Genomic DNA, 22019 nt, shown 5'->3' on the forward strand with positions numbered 1-22019 from the left:
ACTAGTTGGAGGAGTCAGATAACACTGTTGATTCACATTCATCTTACAGTAAACTAAAACCATTACATCCCACGTTGCACAGAAGGGCGATGATACTTAAAGCTCTTAACAGCTCTCTCTGAGCCTACAAAATACTGTCTCAAGAGACCAGCAAAGTGCTAAGGTCAAATAACTCTCACTTGCAAGTGTTTCATCTGAATTGTGCAGATAATGGAACGCTCTTAAATACTACCCAGGTCAGTTTTTGTGATTTTGATTCCATACGCTTAAATTTTCATTCCATCCTTCTTGACCATTTGGATTTCTTGTCCATTTGTGTGCTGATCACATCACAACAGCATCAAAACAGCCCTTTCAAGATGAATAACCTACTTACTGAATTTATTTCCAGATGATCAAGGGAAGGGGAAGAGAGAAAGTCTCTGGTTCTATAAAACATTTCCTGATGGGTTAGAAATGTGGCTGATTGCAGAAAACAACAATAACAACAATAAAAAGCACCTCTGGGAACATCTGTTTTGAGAAGAAAGGCCCCTAAAGGTCAGTCTTTTTAAGTGAACAGAAGCTGGTGTCTCTTAGTCCTTTGATGATGCATACTCAACGGGAAAGTTGTAAAGATAAAATAATTCAGGAAACGAGGACATCGCAGGACAAATTCTCCTTGCCTTTATTGTTTCTAAACACATCAGCAATTCATGTGGTCCAGAAACACAAGCTACAGCTTTCCAGAACAAAGAATCTTACAGTTGGAAAAATTAGTACTGACTGAATACTTCCATGTGGACTCAAGAGAGGTGCCAGGGACTAGTGTCAGGAGAGACGAAGTTAAGATGCCTCTCAGATAACTCAGATTTCTATGAAGCAGCTGGGTTACCCGTTTCCAAAACACCTTGCAGGCCGTCATGGAATTTCCCTTCCTCTACCTGCATGCCACAGGACTTTGCACAACAAAGGTACCATCCATTTTCTTGAAAATGGGATTATCGGGCCAAGCACAGTGGCTCACACCTGTAATCCCAGCACTTTGGGAGGCCAAGTCAGGAGGATCACTTGAGCCCAGGAGTTCAAGACCAGCCTGGGCAAGATAGGGAGGCCCCTGTCTCTACAAAATGAAAAAAGTGAGCCAGGCGTGGTGGCACATGCCTGTAGTCCCAGCTACTCAGGAGGCTGAGCCTGGGAGGTCGAGGCTGCAGTGAGCCGTGATCGTGCCACTGCACTTCAGCCTGGGTAGTCAAGCAAAAGTCTGCCTCCAAAGAAATAAAGAAAAAGGAAAAGAAAATGAGATTTGTCATTTATCACACATTTACTGGGCAGCTCTGTAGTCCAGGTATCAGCAGGCAATGGAGAGAACTCCAGTGTTATGGATGTGTGAGGACACCTCCTCACATCCTTACCCGTGTGATCTGTCTTACCTGTGAGCAGATAACACAGGGAACTGCCTGTTGCTTGGCAAATGCTCAATAAATGTTGGTTTCCCATGGGGCATATGCAACCCCACCAAGGGGACCTGCCAAATCTCCTCTATAAACATTCAAAGAAACATAAAAGGACACATAGCAGGATATCTTCCACCCACCCAAGACCCACAATCCCCTAAGCTTTTCCAAGAGATATACAGAATTCCCCCAGACACTGTGTGTGTGTGTGTGTGTGTGTGTGTGTGTCCTTCCAGCAATCGCCCAGGCATAATCAAGCATGAGTATGTGTGTGGGTGGGTGTGTATAAACACTTATACCCTCTTCTTGTTTTCCTACATCTGGCAGCATACCACATATACTTTCCTGCAAATTGCTTTATTCTTAAACTTAAGAATATATCCTGAAAATCATTCCTTCTTAGCAGATATGACCTACTATTTTAAACAATGGCGGAGCAATCCACTTTAAGAATATACATTCAGGCCGGGCGCGGTGGCTCACGCCTGTAATCCCAGCACTTTGGGAGGCCGAGGCGGGCGGATCACAAGGTCAGGAGATCGAGACCGTCCTGGCTAACACGGTGAAACCCTGTCTCTACTAAAAATACAAAAAATTAACCGGGCGTGGTGGTGGGTGCCTGTAGTCCCAGCTACTTGGGAGGCTGAGGCAGGAGAATGGCATGAACCCAGGAGGCAGAGCTTGCAGTGAGCTGAGATCGCGCCACTGCACTCCAGCCTGGGCGACAGAGCAAGACTCTGTCTCAAAAAAAAAAAAGAATATACATTCAATCAATTCGCTACTTTTTGTTTTTTGGAGTTTTGTTTGTTCATTTTTTGAGGCAGAGTCTTGCTCTTGTCACCGAGGCTGGAGTGCAGTGGTGCAGTCTCGGCTCACTGCAGCCTCCGCCTCCCAGATTCAAGCTATTCTCCTACGTCGGCTTCCCGAGTAACTGGGATTACATACAGGTGTGGGCCACAACACCCAGCTAATTTTTGTATTTTTTGGTAGAGACACAGTTTCTACCATGTTGGTCAGGCTGGTCTCAAACTCCTGGCCTCAAGTGATCTGCCTACCTCGGCTTCCAAAGTGCTGATTATAGGCATGAGCCAATGCGCCCAGCCTAAATCAATTCCTTATTGACATACATTAAGTTGCTTCCACAGTCTTTCTATTACTAGCAATGCTGCAATGAGTATATGTTACATGCATCTTCACACACATTTATAACTATAGGAAACATAGAATTTATAAGAGAAAATCCTTGAAGCAGAATTGCAGGATCAGAGGGTATGTGCACTCAGAATGGTGCCAAATGGCCCTCCAAAGAAGTTGTACTAATTTTCACTCTCATCAGTAGTAGAATGAGTATGCCTGTTTCTCCAACCACAGTCACAAAAGGTTGTTTTGTTTTTAAATACAAAAGAAGAAAGGCAGAGCTCACTCTTGTCCCATTGTCTCTTCTTGCCCCTGTGATATCATTAATGACATGACTACTTCTTAAAAATTCCACACCTGGATGCAAAACCCAGAGATCAAAGTTTAAAAAAGGCCAGGCGCAGTGGCTCATGCCTGTAATCCTAGCACTTTGGGAGGCCAAGGCAGGAGGATCACTTGAGTCCAGGAATTCAAGACCAGCCTCTATAAAAAATAAATTTTACTTTATTTTTAAATTTTTAATTAATTATTTTTAGATAGGGCCTCACTCCATGGCCCAGGCTGGAGTGCAGAGGACCAATTCTGGCTCACTGCCACCTGGGTTCAAACAATCCTCCCACCTCAGCCTCCCAGGTAGCTGGGAATACAGGTGCATACCACCACACCCAGCTAATTTATATTTTTTTTGTAGAAACAGGGTTTCGCCATGTTGCCCAGGCTGGTCTTAAACTCCTGAGCTCAAGTGATCCTCCCACCTTGGCTTCTCAAAATGCTGGGATTGCAGGCATAAGCCACCAAGCACAGACAAAAATAAATTTTTTTAAAAATTATCCATGAGTGTTTTTTAAAAAATTAGTGCAGTGGCCCATAATCACTTCACTGCACTCAAGCCTGGGCAACAGAGCGAGGCCCTACCTCAAAAATAAAAAAACAACAACAAACAGAGTTTAAAATAAAATGAATGCCAAAGGCAGTGGTGTTCTGAAGGTGGCTATACTGACTCAAGAGTCCTAACCATGTTCATTTCTTCCAAACTCCGTGTTCAGTGGCATCATGTTGGTAGCTTGAAACTGGTCATGGTGGAAGTATTTACACCATAGGAATCAGCAAATGCTACAAATTAGGGCTTCTTTTCTTTTCTTTCTTCTTTTTCTTTTCTTTGGTTTTGTTTTGTTTTGTTTTGTTTTTTTGTTTTTTTGTTTTTTTTTTGAGATGGAGTCTTGCTCTGTCGCCCAGGCTGGAGTGCAGTGGCGCGATCTCGGCTCACTGCAAACTCCACCTCCCAGGTTCACGCCATTCTCCTGCTTCAGCCTCCCGAGTAGCTGGGACTACAGGCGCCTGCCACCATGCCCGGCTAATTTTTTGTATTTTTAGTAGAGACGGGGTTTCACCCTGTTAGCCAGGATGGTCTCGATCTCCTGACCTCATGATCCGCCTGCCTCAGCCTCCCAAAGTGCTGGGATTACAGGCGTGAGCCACCGTGCCCGGCTTTCTTTCCTTTTTAAATCACTGTAAACATTTACCAGCACACCAATGTAGACTACAGTGAAAACTGAGGGTATACCACCCTCCTTTGAATATTTTGCCCTCAATGGTGACCTGGTCACAAATTCTTGGAACCTAAGGATTGGAAGATGTCTGAAAGGACATCTAATCCTTACGTCTTCTAATACTGCCTCTCCCTTAGTCCCTCTATGTAGATGTAAGTAGTGCCATTGATACTTCTTCACCATTATTTCATATACCCATCTCTTTATCGCTTAGTGCCTACTCTTGGTGATTTCCCATAGTATAATACTTGCAAACACAGACCCAAGGCTACCCAAGACAGCCTGGAGTCAAATCCCAGATCCATCACTTACCAGCTATGTGACCATGAGCTAGTGGCTTAAACTGCTATTTAGTTTATTTGTCTATAAAATTCAGATGATCATAATGCCTCCTCATAATTTTGTTCTAAGGAGTAAATGAATTAATGCAAATAAAGTACACAGAACAATGGCATGTACTATGCACTTAACAAATTTTAACTGTCATCGTCTCTCAGCTCAGCTCATTAATTCTCTCTTTAGCTATGTCTAATCTGTCATTTAACTCTTTTGTTGGATTTCAATTTTAATGATTATTTTTCCTTTCAATTCAGCTGCTCTTCAAGTCAACCTATTCTTTTTCCATCTTTCTTTACATTTTTTATATCATCCTTAGTTCTTAATCATTTTATTTCTTTTTTCTTGTGAACCTAAACTAAGACATCTTAATCATTTTAAATATACCATTTTTATAGTCTCTTATAAATGGTTTTATTATTTCCAACTTGGAATGGTTTCCTGAATATAGTTTTTCATTGTGAACTCGTCTTCAGAGGTCATTCTCACTGTGGGAGTGCTGTTAGGTATAGGTTGTTGAAATATGCCTATGGAATGACTTTGCGTTCGCAGTAGAGGTTTCCATGGTACTAGACCAGTTCTTACGTTAATTTTTCAGGTTGAAGGGTCTCATACCTCATAAGTAATAAAAAATACAGATTCCACAACCATATATAGTACAATCCCATGTGTTTAAGTTCTTGCTGGTAACTTTTTTTCCAGTCAAGTCAAGCTTCCTCTCTATTTCTCCAAGTATTGAAGTTTTTCTAGCCCCTTTTCATGAAAAAGTCAGACCTTCAAGGCTCCAGAGCACTCAATTCCACCTTGAGTCCAGGCCTCCTTCCTAGAGCCACCGTGCCATTAAAACTTTGGCCCTCAGGCTCTATAGCTTCTGTGCAAAAGCCCCAGGAGTAGTCATGGCTTCAGCTCACATGCCACCATTTAGCTTAAATTTGTCCTCCTTTTTTTTTTTTTTTTGAGGTGGATTCTTGCTCTGTCGCCCAGGCTAGAGTGCAGTGGCTTAATCTCTGCTCACTGCAACTTTCCCCTCCCAGGTTCAGGCAATTCTCCTGCCTCAGCCTCCTGAGTAGCTGGAATTACAGGCATGCGCCACCACACCCGGCTGATTTTTGTATTTTCAGTAGAGACAGGCCTTCGCCATGTTGGCCAGGCTGGTCTGGAACTCCTGACCTCAAGGGATCTGCCTGCCTTGGCCTCCCAAAGTGCTAGGATTACAGGCGTGAGCCACCGCGGCCGGCCTATCCTCATTTTTGACATTTGCAGGTTTCCCTTTCTTCAGCGCTCCCCTAGATAAAATTCTTATATTTCCATCAATTCTGTATTCATACCAGGAAGGACTCACACAAGTCAGCTTAGTCCACCATGCTGCCAGAAGTATTCCAGGTCACTAAATTTAATATAACCACTTATCCACACTTGAGTTCTGCCCACATTAAAATTGTATCTACTCAAGGGTTAGCTTCTGAAGCCAGCATGTTGTGTGAAAATTGAAAGAAGCCAAAATTCCCCTTGAAAAATCCCACAATAAGGTCTCAGGTTGGAGACAAACAAACCATCTTTCATGAAGTCCAACACAGCCAGTCTTTCCTTCAGCACTGGATTTGGTTTCTTAGGGTTGGGCACCATATGTAATAACTGGCTTAGATTTAGGGGCCATGTTGTGTGATAATTAAAATCCATAAATATGAGAAACATATTTGGTGGCACAAGATGCTCACATCCTAAAAAGCCATGAGAACAAATGACCAACAGACGGAATAGCAGATCCATGTCTGCCATTCACACCCACTCCAAGAGAGACGCCCATTGGGTGGAATGACAGGATCACCTACACTATTTAAAGTGGTGTTTTATCCTTTTGCTTTTGTTGAGCAAGTATATTTGGATACGGCCAAGGTGGAAGCATGAATCTATGTTGACAGACGTCAGAATAGTGCTTATCTCTGGGGCAACACTAAGTGCAAAGGGCATGAGGGACCTTTCTAGAAATATTGTATATCCTGATTTGGGTGGTGATTAGATGGGTGTAACATATCAAAATTTCACCAAGCTGTACGATTAAGATTTGTGCATTTTACAGCATGTAAGATAGCTCGATTAAAATAAAAGTTAAAAGCACGCCTACGTAGAAATGGCTGTACAGTATTTTGCCAAAGGTCCCCATCCTATGGTTAAGCCTCACCAGTGAGGATAGTTGGGAGTCTAGGAAACCGGGGGAAAAAAGAAGTAGAAAAGGGAAGTGCACTGTCACAGACAGAGGGCACCCAGGCTCCAAGAGTCAATGGTTTTCCGTGAAGGCCCTTATAGGGTTGACAAGACTACATTAGTTAAGAGCACTGACTTTCTTTTTTTTTTTTTTTTTTGAGACGGAGTCTTGCTCTGTCACTCAGGCTGGAGTGCAGCGGCGCAATCTCAGCTCACTGCAACCTCCGCCTCCTGGGTTCAAGTGAGTATTTTGTATTTTTAGTATTTTTAGTAAATTTTGTATTTTTAGTAGAGACGGGATTTCACCATGTTGGCCAGGCTGGTCTTGAACTCCTGACCTCAAGTGATCCACCCACCTCAGCCTCCCAAAGTGTTGGGATTACAGGTGTGAGCCACTGCGCCCAGCCTATAGTTCTTATTTAAACTAATAATTTGACCTAAAAACCTTGTAGGTTCATGGAATGAATGAATATTCATAGAGTGAATGAAGGGGTGTATATGTATTCTGATTTCAACAGAGGTAGGAGGTTCTTATTTCTATGCAACTGAAATCCATCTTGTAGCCATCACCATCCACTTTAATTTTTCCTCATAGGAAGTGTGGTTAAGAGTGCTGGCTCTGGAGCCAGATGACCATGGTCAAATTCCAGCTCTGTTACTTACCAACTGGGTAACCTTGAATGAGTTAATCAAATTCCAGGCCTCAGTTTCTTCTCCTGTAAAAGAGTTATAGCAAGGATTAAGCAAGTTACAACAGTTCTCAGTACACAGAAAGCCCCCGGTAAATCCTAGCTATTGTTTTTTTCCCATAGTAGAGGTACAGTTTGGGAATAACAACTCCAAATAGCATTTGTTTGTTTGATTGTTTGTTTGTTTTTAAGACATAGTCTTGCTCTGTCGCCTAGGCTGGAGTGCAGTGGCACGATCTCGGCTCACTGCAACCTCTGCCTCCCAGGTTCAAGCAAGCATGCCTGGCTAATATTTTTTATTTTTAGTAGAGACAGGGTTTCATCATGTTGGCCAGGCTGGTCTTGAACTCCTGACCTCAAGTGATCCACCAGCCTTGACCTCCCAAAGTGCTGAATTACAGGCATGAACCACCGCACCCAGCCCCAGATAGCATTTGTACAGTCCATTATATCACTGAATTGTTTTGCAAACAGTTTTCTCATTTAATGCTCAAAATAGTCTGGTATATTACAAATAAATAAACATTCAGAGAAGTTGAATAATTTGCTGAAGGTTGCACAGCAAGTAAAGAACAAAGACCTAAACCAAACTCCTATGACTGAAGGACAGTTTGGCTGGACTGTGTTGTCCTTAGGAGCATATATGGTGGGGCCAGCGCTATCCATGGAGATTCAGTATAAAGGATATTGGGACCCTTGGCTGCAGCAGCAAGTCTTGGTCCCAGCAAAATGCTCAGTTCAACTTGAGTTTAAAACGGTCTTAGTCATTCTGTCCCCTGAATCACTTCCTGTTTCAGGTTTCTACTTTGCAGAGAAAGAAACACAAACAGGTACATTACGCCAGCCTTGTCACCCTCCAAAATCTCCTACAGCAACAAAAGCTGATGAATTAAAGAGAAGTTTCATAAAACCACAGTTAACATCCCATTTAATGCATTAGCCAGCAGTTAGTGTGAAGATCTGAGCAAAGTCGGCAGTGTCTAGACACTCTTATTATTGAATGGAAGAGAAACAGGATGACTTTTTCTCTGGCCTTTATTCTGATTAAATCTTTAGCTGCCTTAGTGTTTTCTCTTTGCTTTTCATTGGGTGCTGAAACTACCGGAAGCTACTTAACCAGCCTTGTTTTATTCACAAAAGGTTTAGGGGCCATGTCTAATTGTCCAGAGAGAACCCTATCTGCTGATAATTTCAGCCACTTCGGCTGCTTTTGCAGCTTTTTGTTTGCCAGTGTAGGTTTTCTTTCTGTCGTTCTTCTTGCTATGGCATGAGTGTGGTTTCACATTCCCTTTTAAATAATAATCACCGAACTGCTCAGTGGCCAAGAAGAGGATTTAAGAACCATCTAGGCCAGGCACGGTGGCTCACCCGTAATCCTAACATTTTAGGAGGCTGAGGTGGGAGGATCACTTGAGCCCAGTAATTTAGGGAGCTCTCGTCTCTACAAACAATTTAAAAATTAGCTGAGCGTGGTGGCACATGCCTGTAGTCCCAGCTACTTGGCAGGCTGAGACAGGAGGATCACTTGAGCCCAGGAGGTCGAGGCTGCAGTGACCCATGATGTGCACTGTGCTCCAGCCTGGGTGACAGAGCAACCCGTCTCCAAAGAAAATAAAAAAAAGAACCATCTAAGCATACTGCATACTCACAAACTATGTCCTCTTATGTACACACATAGACTCCACACATACCACACATTCATTCCATGTACACACACCACACATACACCATACACACATCCCATGCACACACCCCACACACATCCCAGGAACATACCCCACGCACATGCACACCACACACACACACCCCACATCACTCACACACCCAGCACACCCAGGGCATAGAGTGTGGCTCTGATAGAAGTAACATGGGCCTCTAAACAAGTGTGGCTTCTTTTCATTTCCAAGCTATAGGCAGAAAGCCTGGACTACAGCTCTAGAAACCAGATCTCGCCTCCTCTTCAGCCTCATAGCATGTGTCTCATCCCTTCTCAGTCTTTCGGAGCATCTGACTTGGGCAAGTCACTTAACTTCTGTTATAAAGTGAGGACACTCATTCACTCAATAGCTACTGATCACCTATTGTGTGCCAAGCATTGTGGCCATGGAAATAATTCCATGAATTAAACCGTCCCAGCCACCCAGGAGCTCTCCAAGATTAGGGGAGCAATTACAGGCAGATGAACGCTCTGAAGGAAAGGGGATGAGGCAATCTCTGAAAAGGGTATTTAATTAACTCAGCAGGGGATGGAAAGTGATGGATAATCGAAGAAAGACTTCCCCAAGGAGGTAATACTGAAGCTGAGAAGTAAAAGTTAAGTTAGAATTGGCCAGAGGCAGGAAGGGATCCAGGCAGAGCTCTCCGCACAGGCAAAGGCTGGCAAGTTAGACTGCTGGTCCATTCAGTTAAGCACAGGAGGTGGAAGAGGGATGGGCCTCGGTATGTCAGGGGTGGGCTTGCCAGGGTTACCCGCCTGGGCCAGGTGCCCCCCTGAGGTCCCTCCCAGCCCTCAAGGCAGATTCTATCATCTTCTGAGAGCCCAGGTCCTCTCCTTCCCTGACAGCCTTTTCACCAGCATGCTGAAGTCGGCTCCAGAGGACAAGGGGAGTCCCAACCACCTCACGTGGACTCCTGCTCCTTCCTCTTTCGTCTCCTCTCAGCAGTGACCAGACAGTGACTCAGGGAAGGGAGCTGTCCTCTATTTGTCATTTAGTTCTTTAAAAAATACTCGCCTGTAGTCCCAGCTACTCTAGGGGCTGAGAAAGGAGGATCACTTGAGCCTTGGAGTTCAATTCCAGCCTGGGCAACATAGTGAGACCCTGTCTCTATAAAAATAAAAATTAAAAAACACCCAGCGCTCTTATACCCAACTAGCCTTCTAACCAACTCCCTCCTTTCTCCCACCCAGTCCCTCACCTAGCTGAGAAAGGCTGGATTTCTCTGTGTCCTTATCCGTCTCCTCCAAGAGACTTTAAGCTTTAAGCTACCTGAGGGCTCATGCTAGGTTTTGGTCATCCTGGTGTCCCCCACACCCGGTACTATGCCTGATGTCTAGTAGATCAAACTGATTCCCCTCCCTGAAAATGAGCACTGCCCAGAACCCACCCACAGGGCAGCCTGTCTGAGGCCAAGGCAGGAGACCCAGAATCCAGCCGACCCAACACTCCTCCCCACAGCACTCTGTAGGAGACTCTGCCCTGTGAATCCCAATTTGAAAACTGACAGCTATGTTAGTCTAATTCCCTCATTTTATCAACAAAGAACCTCAGGCCCAAAAGAATGATATGACTTGCCCAAGGTCTCTCAGCAAATGTGATATAAAGTTTTTTTAAAGGAGCAAAACATCGCTTAAATGGAAGCCTATCTATCACCCCTACCAGAAACGTTGCTTATTTTAAGAAGAAAACCCTTAATGTTTGCAAGTCGAATGGAAGCTTTCCTTTCTCTGACCAATTTTGCCATACTTTCATGACTCCTGGGATGCTCTAGGCAGCACTAAAAGTTCCCACTGAAGCAAATCTATTTACAAAGGTGACCAGGAATTGTTTTAGGGATTGGATATATTTTTGATTATGGATCATTTTTAAAGTTAATTATCTATTATGTGATCTAAGGCTATAATAATTTTTTAAACAATTGAGCCTCCCAAACCACTTAGATGCTTCCTGGTTTTTAAAAATGTTTTGCTATTTTAAAATGTTTTGCTATTAAACAACTTTACTAGAAGTAAAAAAAAAAAAAAATCACAGATTTTTTTTTTTTTAAACTTCAAACAGGGTCTCACTTTGTTGCCCAGGCTGGAGTGCAGTGGCTCAAACATGGCTTACTGTAGCCTCAACCTCCTGGGCTCAAAGTGCTCCTCCTGCCTCAGTCCCCCAAGTAGCTGTGACCACAGGCACGTGCCACCACACCCAGATAATTTTTTTTTTTTTTTGAGACGGAATCTCGTTCTGTCACCCAGGCTGCAGTGGTGCGATCTTGGCTCACTGCAACCTCTGCCTCCCGGGTTCAAGAGATTCTTCTGCCTCAGGCTCCCGAGTAGCTTGGGACTACAGGCACCTGCCAGCACGCCCAGCTAATTTTTGTGTTTCTAGTAGAAACAGGGTTTCACCATACTGGCCAGGCTGGTCTCGAACGCCTGACCTCAGAATCCGCCCACCTCAGCCTCCCAAAGTGCTGGGATTACAGGCGTGAGCCACTGCGCCTGACCTAATTTTTTTTATTTCTTGTAGAGACAGGGTGTCACCATATTGCCCAGGCTGGTCTCGAACTCGTAACCTCAAGCGATCCTCCCGCCTCGGCCTCCCAAAGTGCTGGGATTACAGGCGTGAGCCACTGTGCCCGAAACAGATGATTTTTAAGGAAGACATTTCTACCCATAATCCCTCCACCAAAAGAAAGAATTCCTTACAATTCTGTGTCCTCCTAAACTGTTTTATCCACAGTTCTGTACTCTGGACATATGTATGTATTTCATTAAAACACATTACCTTTAGTATAAAAGATTGTTAAATAGTTTCCTTTTTTCTTAAAAAATAAAAAAGACAAAAACTTTTATTATGCAAGTCACTGGCACCATGTTTCTGATAAACGCCACGGAGCAAAACCCAGGCTACAAGTTAAGAGCACCTGGAAATTCTGGGTTTGAGACTTTTAAAGCAACATTTTCTAGCCTGCTTCATTCCATAATTATTCTGACACTTTCCACATCCCACTTAATAGGAAACAGACGAAGGAAAACAGGTGTTTTGCTTATTCTACTTGGCATAGCATGCTCTACTGCAGAAGTTTGCAGCAGTTGCTTATTGCTGTATTTTTCCTGCAAGTGAAATGACATCTCTGGTTTGTCCAGAGTTTAAAAATACTGCAGCCGGGTCCCCACTCTGCATAATTAAACAGACTCTCTGGGGAAGCACCCCAGCACCATATTGCTCCAAAGCTCCCCAGGTGATTTTCATGTGCAGCTGGGACTGACAAGCACCAGGCTAAGATAACTCATTAGTCAAAGGAAGCCCATGGGAAATCTTATCTGGAAATGAAGAACTCTTGTAATTAAATAAAATAGCAGATGTAAAAGTCCCTAACAGTGCCTGTTACCCAGAAGACAATAAATGTTAATTAAACAAAAAAAAAATTTAAATAATTACTCCTTCCCCTCAGTGGATTCATCTTGTTATTTTATTGGCTTGTTTATCACTTGTTTTTTTTTCTTTACCATGATTCATTCTATCCCTGTTAATAAAATTATAAACTTATGCCTATAATCCTGTTCAATTACAAGAGCTCTGTAATATTTCTAACAACGCTTTATTGCTTTATTTAATAAAACTTTCCCCCAGTACAGTGGCTTATAGCAAATATGCAATAAACATCTGCTATTTATAATAATAATGGATATTCAGAATTACTTTAATTCAGAATTCATGACCGTTTTTCTAAACTAGACTGAAATTTATTTCACATTATTAGGACCAGTTAGCAACAATGTAAAAAATTATTACGGCAATGTTTAACAAACTTAAGAAAACAGACCTTTAAGCAAACCAATTCTTTTTTATAATTTCCTGGGAAAAAACTAAATGCAGTCATTACACAGGTGAACTTATCTCCCATTCAAGGAGGCCTTGCTCAGCTCTTCCCATAGTTACCTGGAGAGGCTAATACTGCAATTAGTTATAAGCGGTTTTTCCTTCCAATTTCTCCCTACGGCTGCCTCTCTGAGCGTGAATTTGGAAGGTGATTCTTAATGTTTACATTACCCCTCAGTTCTGAGAAGCCAAACATTTGTTTGAAAAAAAGAAATAGAATTTCTGAATCAGAAGAAAGAGTTTTTGTGTGTGTGTTTATGTGTTGTTGTTTTTTTTTGTTTTTTGGGGTTTTTTTTTAATTGAGACAAAGAGTCTGGCTCTGTTGCCCAGGCTGGAGTGCAATGGCGCAATCTCTGCTTACTGTAACCTCCGCCTCCTGGGTTCAAGTGATCCTCCTGCCTCAGCCTCCCAAGTAGCTGGGATTACAGGCATGTGCCACCACGCCCAACTAATTTTTCTATTTTTAGTGGAGACGGGGTTTCACCATGTTGGCCAGGCTGGTCTGGAACACCTGACCTCAAGTGATCCACCCACCTCGGCCTCCCAAAGTGCTAGGATTACAGGCGTGAGCCACCGTGCCCAGCCAGAACAAAGAGGTTTCATGAAGGCCATTTCCAAATGTCTTGCCTTGCTGGCACAAACTTCCCCAGTCATCTTTTCTTGTGTTGTGCCAGACAGAGAAGGCATCTAACAGGTATGTGGGAAGCTGGGCCATGTTCAGCTCAAGATTCACACTCGTTCACAGTAGACCTCTGTATGGCTCACACATGAACTCTGCTATGCTTCAGTTCCTAAGGCCATCCAGCTCCCAAAGTCTGCCATGTCATGTTTTAAATAAACTGGACTCGACACCCAGCCAAAAATAATAATGATGTGCACGTCTCTGTATGTAAATGTCAATAATAAGGTACAAAATGATCACACATGGGCCAATTCCCATCCTATACTATTTGGTATTATCACCTAATATTTGTCCTCACTCTTTTTTTTTTTGAGACGGGGTCTCGCTCTGTCACCCAGGCTGGAGTGCAGTGGAGCGATCTCGGCTCACTGCAAACTCCACCTCCCAGGTTCACGCCATTCTCCTGCCTCAGCCTCCCAAGTAGCCGGGACTACAGGCGCCCGCCACCACGCCCGGCTAATTTTTTTGTATTTTTAGTAGAGATGGGGTTTCACCGTGTTAGCCAGGATGGTCTCGATCTCCTGACCTCGTGATCTGCCCGCCTTGGCCTCCCAAAGTGCTGGGATTACAGGCGTGAGCCACTGCTCCCGTCCTGTCCTCACTCTTTCAATGAGATCATAAGCACCTTGAGGGTGGACATCTTGTATTAGCAGTAGTAGAAGTATTAATTTTATTGATTTATTTATTTTTAATAGAATCTTGCTCTGTCACCTAGGCTGGAGTGCAGTGGCACCACCATATCTCACTGTGGCCTCGAACTCCGGGGCTCAACAGATCCTCCTGCCTTAAGCTCCCGAGTAGCTGGGGTACTACTCAGTTGTACAGGCGTGTGCCACCATGCCTAATTTTTTTTTTATTTCATGTAGAGACGAGGTCTTGCTATGTGCCCAGGTCAATCTTGCACTCCTGGCCTTAACAATCCTCCCATCTAGGCTTCCCAAAGCCACAGTGGGCCACCGTGCCCAGTCTAATTGTAGTTTCGATCCTCTTAATTGAATTGTCTATAGTGTGTTATATAGCTAATCAGATTACCTGAATAATAAAACTTCTCTTTCTTATGTTTTCATTTAATATTCGATCAGCCAAGCACTAAATGACTATTGTGAGATGGTTGTGGGGCAGGCTTCACACAAGTGATTCCAATTTGTCTTGGTTGATTTGAACTTGTAGGAAAAACTGCAATGTCTGAAACCTCCACCGTAACAGATTTAGAGAGAATCCCTGGAGACTCAAGCCTCGCGCTGTGGGCACCATCTCCCCAGGCATGTGCCAGGATGATACAGAACAAAAGATGCACCTCAAAAATGAATACATTTGGAGGAATCCTCCCCTGTGCTAGAGTTTTCTAAAGTATCCCTCAATCCATTCAGAACATGTCCTTTTATATTAGCCAGGTTCTCTACCACTCCATCAATGTGTGTTATTATTATTATTTCCCAAGTATGCAGTTCAGAAAAGATGCTAATACACTGGGGTTGGGGGGTGTCCTTTGAAACACATTCCCAGGTGTTTAATTTCCTATTCATAACTAGTGCTAACCAGCTAAGTGCGTGTACACACACACACACGTGCATGCACACGAACACACACACCTTTTTAAAAATATATCAATGTTGGCCGGGTGCGGTGGCTCACGTCTGTAATCCCAGCACTTTGGGAGGCCAAGGCGGGCAGATCACTTGAGGCCAGGAATTCGGGACCAGCCTGGCCAACATAGTGAAACCTCCATCTCGTACTAAAAATACCAAAAAAATTAGCTGGGCGTAGTGGTGTGTGCCTGTAATCCCAGCTACTCAGGAGGCTGAGGCAACAGAATCACTTGAACCTGGGAGGCAGAGGCTGAAGTGAGCGGAGATCGTGACACTGCACTCCAGCCTAGGTGACAGAGCAAGACTCTGTCTCAAAATAAATAAATAAATTAATTAATTAATTAAATAAATAATATATCAATGTTTTACAACCCTAATACCAGGAAAACACAAAGTACTTCTGGTTTTCAGTGCATGTTTACCACCAAGATGCAAATCCCATACACATTTTGGGGTGCCTTGGAAATAACATAACTGATTCTTGGGTCCACTACAAGTTTACAAACATTCTCTGGCTTGGATTTTCTGTCAATAGTAGCATAACATTTTTCTATGCTAACATATGAAGGAATAAAGCCTATTAGAGGTTCTTTTATTCACAAACTGTCTTCTCCGAGACTATAACCTTTTAGGTTGAACCACTATTAGCTGGAAACTTCCTCTGGAAGGATAAGTGAGAACAGCGCCCACAGTGCACCTTTTGCCCAGAACTCGGGCCCAAGATCTGGGGAGATATTGCTATAATACTGGGTCGTTCTCTTTCAAAGATGATAAACAGCAGGAGGGTCTATTAATTATCATTTCCCAGCTGGCCATGGTGGCTCAAGCCTGTAATCCCAGCACTTCGGGAGGCCATGGCAAGCAGATCACCTGAAGTCAGGAGTTTGAAACCAGCCTGGCCAACATGGTGAAACCCAGTCTCTACTAATAATACAAAAAAAAAATTGGCCTGGCATGGTGGCAGGCACCTATAATCCCAGCTATTTGGGAGGCTGAGGCAGAAGAATTGCTTGAAGCCAGGAGGCGGAGGGTGCAATGAGCCGAGATCACGCCATTGCACTCCAACCTGGATGACAAGAGCAAGACTCCACCTCAAAAAATAAAATAAAATAAAATAATTATCATTTCCCTTTAAACTCATAAACCCTTAAACATGAACCATCTTCCAGAACCAATTCTGATGCATGATAAAAATAAAAACACAGTTTCTACATTTTGCCTACCACACTCCTGGCATAGGCTGATCACAGCTTAAGACACACATCTTCATTTTTCCACAGTATCATGATCTATTGCTTACATAGTTAAAATTGTTTTTAATGGGCCAGAGAAGGAGGTTGCAGTGAGCCAAGATTGCACCACTGCACTCCAGCCCGGGCAACAGAGCAAGACTCCATCTCAAAAAAAAAAAAAAAAAAAGAAAAGAAAAAAGAAAAAAAGCTGTAGTACTTGCAGCTCTATGTCCAAGTGACAAATCTGCCTTCCAGAAATCTGATTTTTGCGGTGGGGGAGGACAACTACATAGCGTGGTGCTTAACATGTTGATAAATGTTCAAAAGAAGTTTTTTGATGCTTTAGGCCAATCATCTGTTTAAACCAATAACATTAATTATTACTGTGTATTTTAATACGCAGTCTTGTTTTTCAAGAAGTCCAGTTCAGCACACCATTGATTTAATAAACAATATGCGCTGGGCGTGGTGGCTCACGCCTGTAATCCCAGGTACTCGGGAGGCTGAGGCAGGAGAATCACTTGAACCTGGGAGGCGGAGGTTGCAGTGAGCCAAGATTGTGCCACTGCACTCCAGCCTGGGCCACGGAGTGAGACTCTGTCTCAAGAAAAAGAAAAAGAAAAAAAAAACCATACTATGAGGTCAGGCACAGTGGCTCACGCCTGTAACCCCAGCACTTTGGGAGGCCAAGGCAAAAGAATCGGTTGAGCTCAGGAGGTCAAGACGAGGCTGGGCAACATAGTGAAATCCCATCTCCACCAAAAATACAAAAAAATTAGCTGGTCGTGGTGGTGCACACCTGTGGTTCCAGCTACTCGGGAGGCTGAGGTGGGAGGATCGCTTCAGCCTGAGGGGTGGAGGCTGCAGTGAGCAGAGGTGGCATCACTGCACTCCAGCCTGTGTAACAGAGTGAGACACTATCTCAAAAAAAAAAACACACACACTCACAAGACAAACAACAAAACAACATAATATGAAGATGGGAAGAAGACAGAGGAGGAAGGAAACGAACTATGGTGTACTGAAAAGCCAGATCCCAATACCATCTCAGTTAAACTGAGAGACAGAGTTAGCCCCCCATTCCCCACCTTTTTTTTCAAGACAAGGTCTGGCTCTGTCGCTCAGGCTGGAGTGCAGTGGTGCAATCTCGGCTCACTGCAACCTCCACCTCCTGGGCTCAGGCCATCCTCCCACCTCAGCCTTCAGAATGGCTGGAACTACAGGCACATGCCACCACGCCTTGCTAATTTTTGTTTGTTGGTTGGTTGGTTGGTAAAGATGGGGTTTCGCCATGTCGGCCAGGCTGGTATTGAACTCCTGGACTCAAAAGATCTGCCAACCTCAGCCGCCCGAAGCGCTGTGATTACAGGTGTGAGCCACTGTGCCTGGCTCCAGCCCCACCCTTTTTTAAGTGGAGACATGGACAGGAGCTCACTAATAGATGAGCAAGATAAAAATGATGTTTCTGAAGCAATGGAGAACTGATTATCAAATACTTCCCCAGTGTAAGGATGTATCACTTTTAAAGGTATGTCACTATTTACTTGAAAATGTGACATTTGCAGAGATAGAGAATATTATTTCTGGGTATCTGGTCCAACTCCCTGATTTTATAGGTGAGGGAATCTAAAGTCTGCAAGAAAAGAACACGCCTGGGGCCTGGGAGTGGGATCACAGCAGAGCAGGACCAGGACCAAGCTTCCTGACTGAGCTTCCTCCCATTTCCAAAGCCCTTCACCTGGAGAACTGCTTCCCGGGCTTCAGGTTTCAGTTCAGGGAGCCTGCTGTCCAGACAGGTGCCCCCGCTGGTCCACCCGACCACTGTCCCCCTCTCTCAGAGCACTCCTCAAGCTATAGGTGAAGGACACCATCATCTATTCATCTAGCTTCCCCGCTGGACTGAGAGTAACTCGAGTGGGCATTCCTCTTTGTGTCCTGGTACTGAGTGCAGTAATGACATCACATGGATACTGTGTGTAGTGAACAGGGGATCAACTTGTCCCCATTGGCCAGGGAATTTCCTAGCTTTAGCAATGCAAGTCCCAAGTCCTGGAAAACCCCTCAACCAAGATGGCTGGTCACTGGTAGCGACATTAACAGGATCAGACAGCCTGGTCACACTTTCCCCTTCTCTAACTGTCCTCCAACACCCAGCCCAGGCCCCAGAGCCCTGTCTGTGCCATGCAGTCCCTCCAGCTCAGCCCTGTCCAATAGAACCTTCTGCCTCGATGAAGATGATCTCTGTCTGAACTATCCAATACCTTAGCTTGGGCCACATGTGGTTACTGAGCACTTGAACTCTGGCTACTGTGACTGAGGAACTGAATTTTTAATTTTATTTAATTTTAACTAACCGAAACATAAATAGCCCCATGCGGCTAGTGGCTACTCTGTTGGACAATTCGATTCTGGTTTTCCATTTATGGAATTAGTGTGCCATCACTGCACACAGGGATGAACTTTAAAGCCAGACAGACCTTGATCCAAGTCCTGACTCATTTACCAATACAGCACTTCTTAGGGAATCTTGTTGCTTCATCTGTAATCCTCACAAACTTACTTTGCAACAATGTATGGAAAGTGAAATGACTGGCCAATAGCAGAACGTCAAGAAACAGGATTTCTCTAGAAGCAACTAAACCAAATATATGTCCAAATGCGAGAAAAATCTGATTCTGAACCAAAAAAGCAAACGCATGAGCATCATTTCCAGCAGATCTCTAAAACCCTTGCCTGTTTTAAATTCTCATTCTAAATTGTCATGGCTGCCCAGCTGGGCTCACCACCTCTTTCTGTCCCCAGGCCTGCAGCTGGCTGTCACCAAGCCACTACAGAAGGTACTGCAGCCAACACAGTCTAGGTACAAACATACATGTCCAGCTCTCCAAAATGTATACACTAAATATGTGCAATTTTTTTCATATACCAATTATACCTTAGTAGAGCTGTTAAAAAAAAAAAAAAAAACACCCTTGGAAGTGGCTCATGCCTGTAATCCCAGCATTTGGGGAGGCAGAGGAGAGAGGATTGTTTGAGCCCAGGCGCTCAAGACCAGCCTGGGCAACACTGCAAGACGCTCTCTCTATTAAAAAACATATAAATAAGGCCGGGCGCAGTGGCTCACGCCTGTAATGCCAGCACTTTGGGAGGCCGAGGCGGGCAGATCACGAGGTCAGGAGATCGAGACCATCCTGGCTAACACGGTGAAACCCCGTCTCTACTAAAAATACAAAAAATTAGCGAGGCGTGGTGGCGGGCGCCTGTAGTCCCAGCTACTCGGGAGGCTGAGGCAGGGGAATGGCGAGAACCCAGGAGGCGGAGCTTGCAGTGAGCCAAGACTGTGCCACTGCACTCCAGCCAGGGCGACAGAGCAAGACTCCATCTCAACAAAAAAGAAAAATAAATATATATATATGTATAAAAAATAAACCTGTTAAATCTGCTACATTAACAACAAAAAAAAGTTTTTAAATAAGAAGACACCATTGGGCAGCAGGCACTGGGTGGGAGTTACTGTGCCAGGTCACCCTGAGTGTGGCCCCACACAGCCCCACCGGCAGGAAGGGATCCAGGGCAGGGAGGGATCCAGGCCAGTCCCAGAGCAGGGACCAGGCAGCGCTCACGTGCGCTCTGCACCAGCCACAGGGATGCGGGGACGCTGGGGACGCGGGGATGCGGGGACACCGGGGACCGCCCGGGAGCACGTCCTGCGCATCGCCGGGCTCCGCGAGGCCTGCAGAGGACGCAGCCCTCTCCCTCCCGCTGGGTGCGGAACCGGGTGCAAGAGGCCGAAGCGCTGCCCCATAAAGCCGATCTTCGCCGGGGCCCCGCCCAGGCCCTAACGAATACATCCCATTGGCAGGAACCGGCAGCAGGTCCTAGGAGAAGCCAGCCTCTGATTGGAATCAACCGGGAGCTTTTTAAAAATATTGTTCCCCGGAATCGGAGATCAGGGTTTACAGACAGCTCCCAGGTGATGGTGCTGCACAGCTGGGGCCTCCGTATTTTTCCTCTGAATGCCTGAGGAGGTGATCCTGCTGAGCCGCCAAGGCGGGGAACACCGCCCACCAGCAGGGAGAAGCACTATTTAGGGCTGTGGCAAGAAGTCCTATCCTTAACAGTCCCCTGCCTCTCTCTGGCTGCAGGGACAACAGTCAGAGGGCTGCAGGGGCCTGAAGCCAGACACGGGACACAAGCTGCTTCCCTCTCCTTGCAGATGGCTGAGCACTTTCCAGTTGCCCAGGACCTCCCCATCCAGTGTCTCCCAGGCAGGGCTGGCAGGGAGGCCCTCTTCCCCACCCACTGAGCATCCAAGTGCGGGAGGCCTAATCCATGCACCTGGCACTTAGGAAGCCCACAGTCACTGCTGTTACTGTGGTTGCTACCCTCATCTCACTGGGAAAGAAGCCGGCTCAGAGAGATGGGATGAGTCACCCAAGGCCACATGATACTGGGGGCAGGGCTGGCACAGGAACACTGGGCTCTAGGGCTCATTCTCCTCCCTGTACCCCAGGATGCGGCCACTGCCCTGCCCTCCCCCAACACCTTTTTTCCTCCCTCTTACAGAAAACAGGCAGGCTCTACCAGTCAGGATAACACTTCATTCATTGCACACGCTAGGGCTTTAATTCATGGGACCCCACCTGTCCTCCTCAAAATAGTCCTGGGTCCTCTAGGAATGCCCTCCAACCACCAAGTGGTGGGGGTTTTTTTTGTTTTTGTTTTTGTTTTTTTGAGACAGTTTCGCTCTTGTTGCCCAGGCTGGAGTGCAATGGCGCGATTTCAGCTCACTGCAACCTCCACCTCCCAGGTTCAAGCAATTCTCCTGCCTCAGCCTCCCGAGTAGCTGGGATTACAGGCATGTACCACCACGCCAGGCTAATTTTGTATTTTTAGTAGAGATGGGATTTCTCCATGTTGAGGCTGGTCTCGAACTCCTGACCTCAGGTGATCGCCTGCCTCGGCCTCCCAAAGTGCTGGGATTACAGGCGTGAGCCACCACGCCCCACCCAAGTAGTGGTTTTTAGTACAGCTTTGAAGCCTGACACACCAGGGTTGCCACTCAGTAGCTGGGTGATCTGGGACAAGTTTCTTAACCTCTCTGGGCTCAGTTTCCTCTTCTGTAAAGTGGGACTGATAATATTTACCAGTAAGGGTTGTGGTGAGGATTATTAGGTGAGATCATCCAGCGGATGGGATGGGCACCACAGCGGCTGGCAGCAAGTACTAACAGGCAGTAGGTGCCACTATCCAGAAGGCCGGTCTTTCTCACGGCCTCTCCACGCTCCATCCTGGCCCGGGAAAGCTCCACACTGCTCACCCTCTTGCCTTACTCACCCCCTTGAAATTCCCCAGGCTCCATGAGCCGGTGACCCACTGCCTCTCGCTTGCCCAAATTCCTCTTGGGTGCCTGGTCCACCCTGGAGACAATGGTGACCCACCATGTGGCTGGAGGTACCACATCCTCCCCCACCCCCCAGAAATAGTAAATGAGAAGTAACCTTTTTCTATTCCCCATTCCAGACTTCCTTAATTAAAATCAAATATTTGCACACTCTCCAAAGCCTATAAACCT

General features: G+C 45.3%; 1 protein-coding gene across 63 annotated transcripts in view, besides 2 other annotated features; it reads right to left on the bottom strand.

The window, feature by feature from the left end:
• The window catches only part of CYRIB (CYFIP related Rac1 interactor B), a 177537-nt gene that overhangs the window by 124023 nt on the left and 31495 nt on the right, over positions 1 to 22019 (bottom strand). For 52 of the 63 annotated variants that reach the window (NM_001353269.1, NM_001353270.1, NM_001353245.1 and 49 more), the window contains exon 2: positions 7328 to 7380. The exons of the other annotated variants lie outside the window; for them this stretch is intronic. Coding sequence is in view for 2 of the 52 variants with exons in the window: in XM_047421855.1 (XP_047277811.1) it covers positions 7328 to 7380 (53 nt within the window). In the remaining 50 variants the exon portion in view is untranslated. The remainder of the gene's footprint in view (positions 1 to 7327; positions 7381 to 22019) is intronic. 63 annotated transcript variants of the gene reach the window in all.
• Positions 8339 to 8488: an enhancer, noted in NCBI's record as "active region_27974". NCBI's record gives its function as "activates an Ori minimal core promoter by ATAC-STARR-seq in GM12878 lymphoblastoid cells {active_cell/tissue: GM12878}" and the evidence as "EXISTENCE:reporter gene assay evidence [ECO:0000049][PMID:35858748]".
• Positions 8509 to 8568: an enhancer, noted in NCBI's record as "active region_27975". NCBI's record gives its function as "activates an Ori minimal core promoter by ATAC-STARR-seq in GM12878 lymphoblastoid cells {active_cell/tissue: GM12878}" and the evidence as "EXISTENCE:reporter gene assay evidence [ECO:0000049][PMID:35858748]".

This window comes from Homo sapiens, chromosome 8, assembly GCF_000001405.40.
Source record: "Homo sapiens chromosome 8, GRCh38.p14 Primary Assembly".
Lineage (NCBI taxonomy): Eukaryota > Metazoa > Chordata > Mammalia > Primates > Hominidae > Homo > Homo sapiens.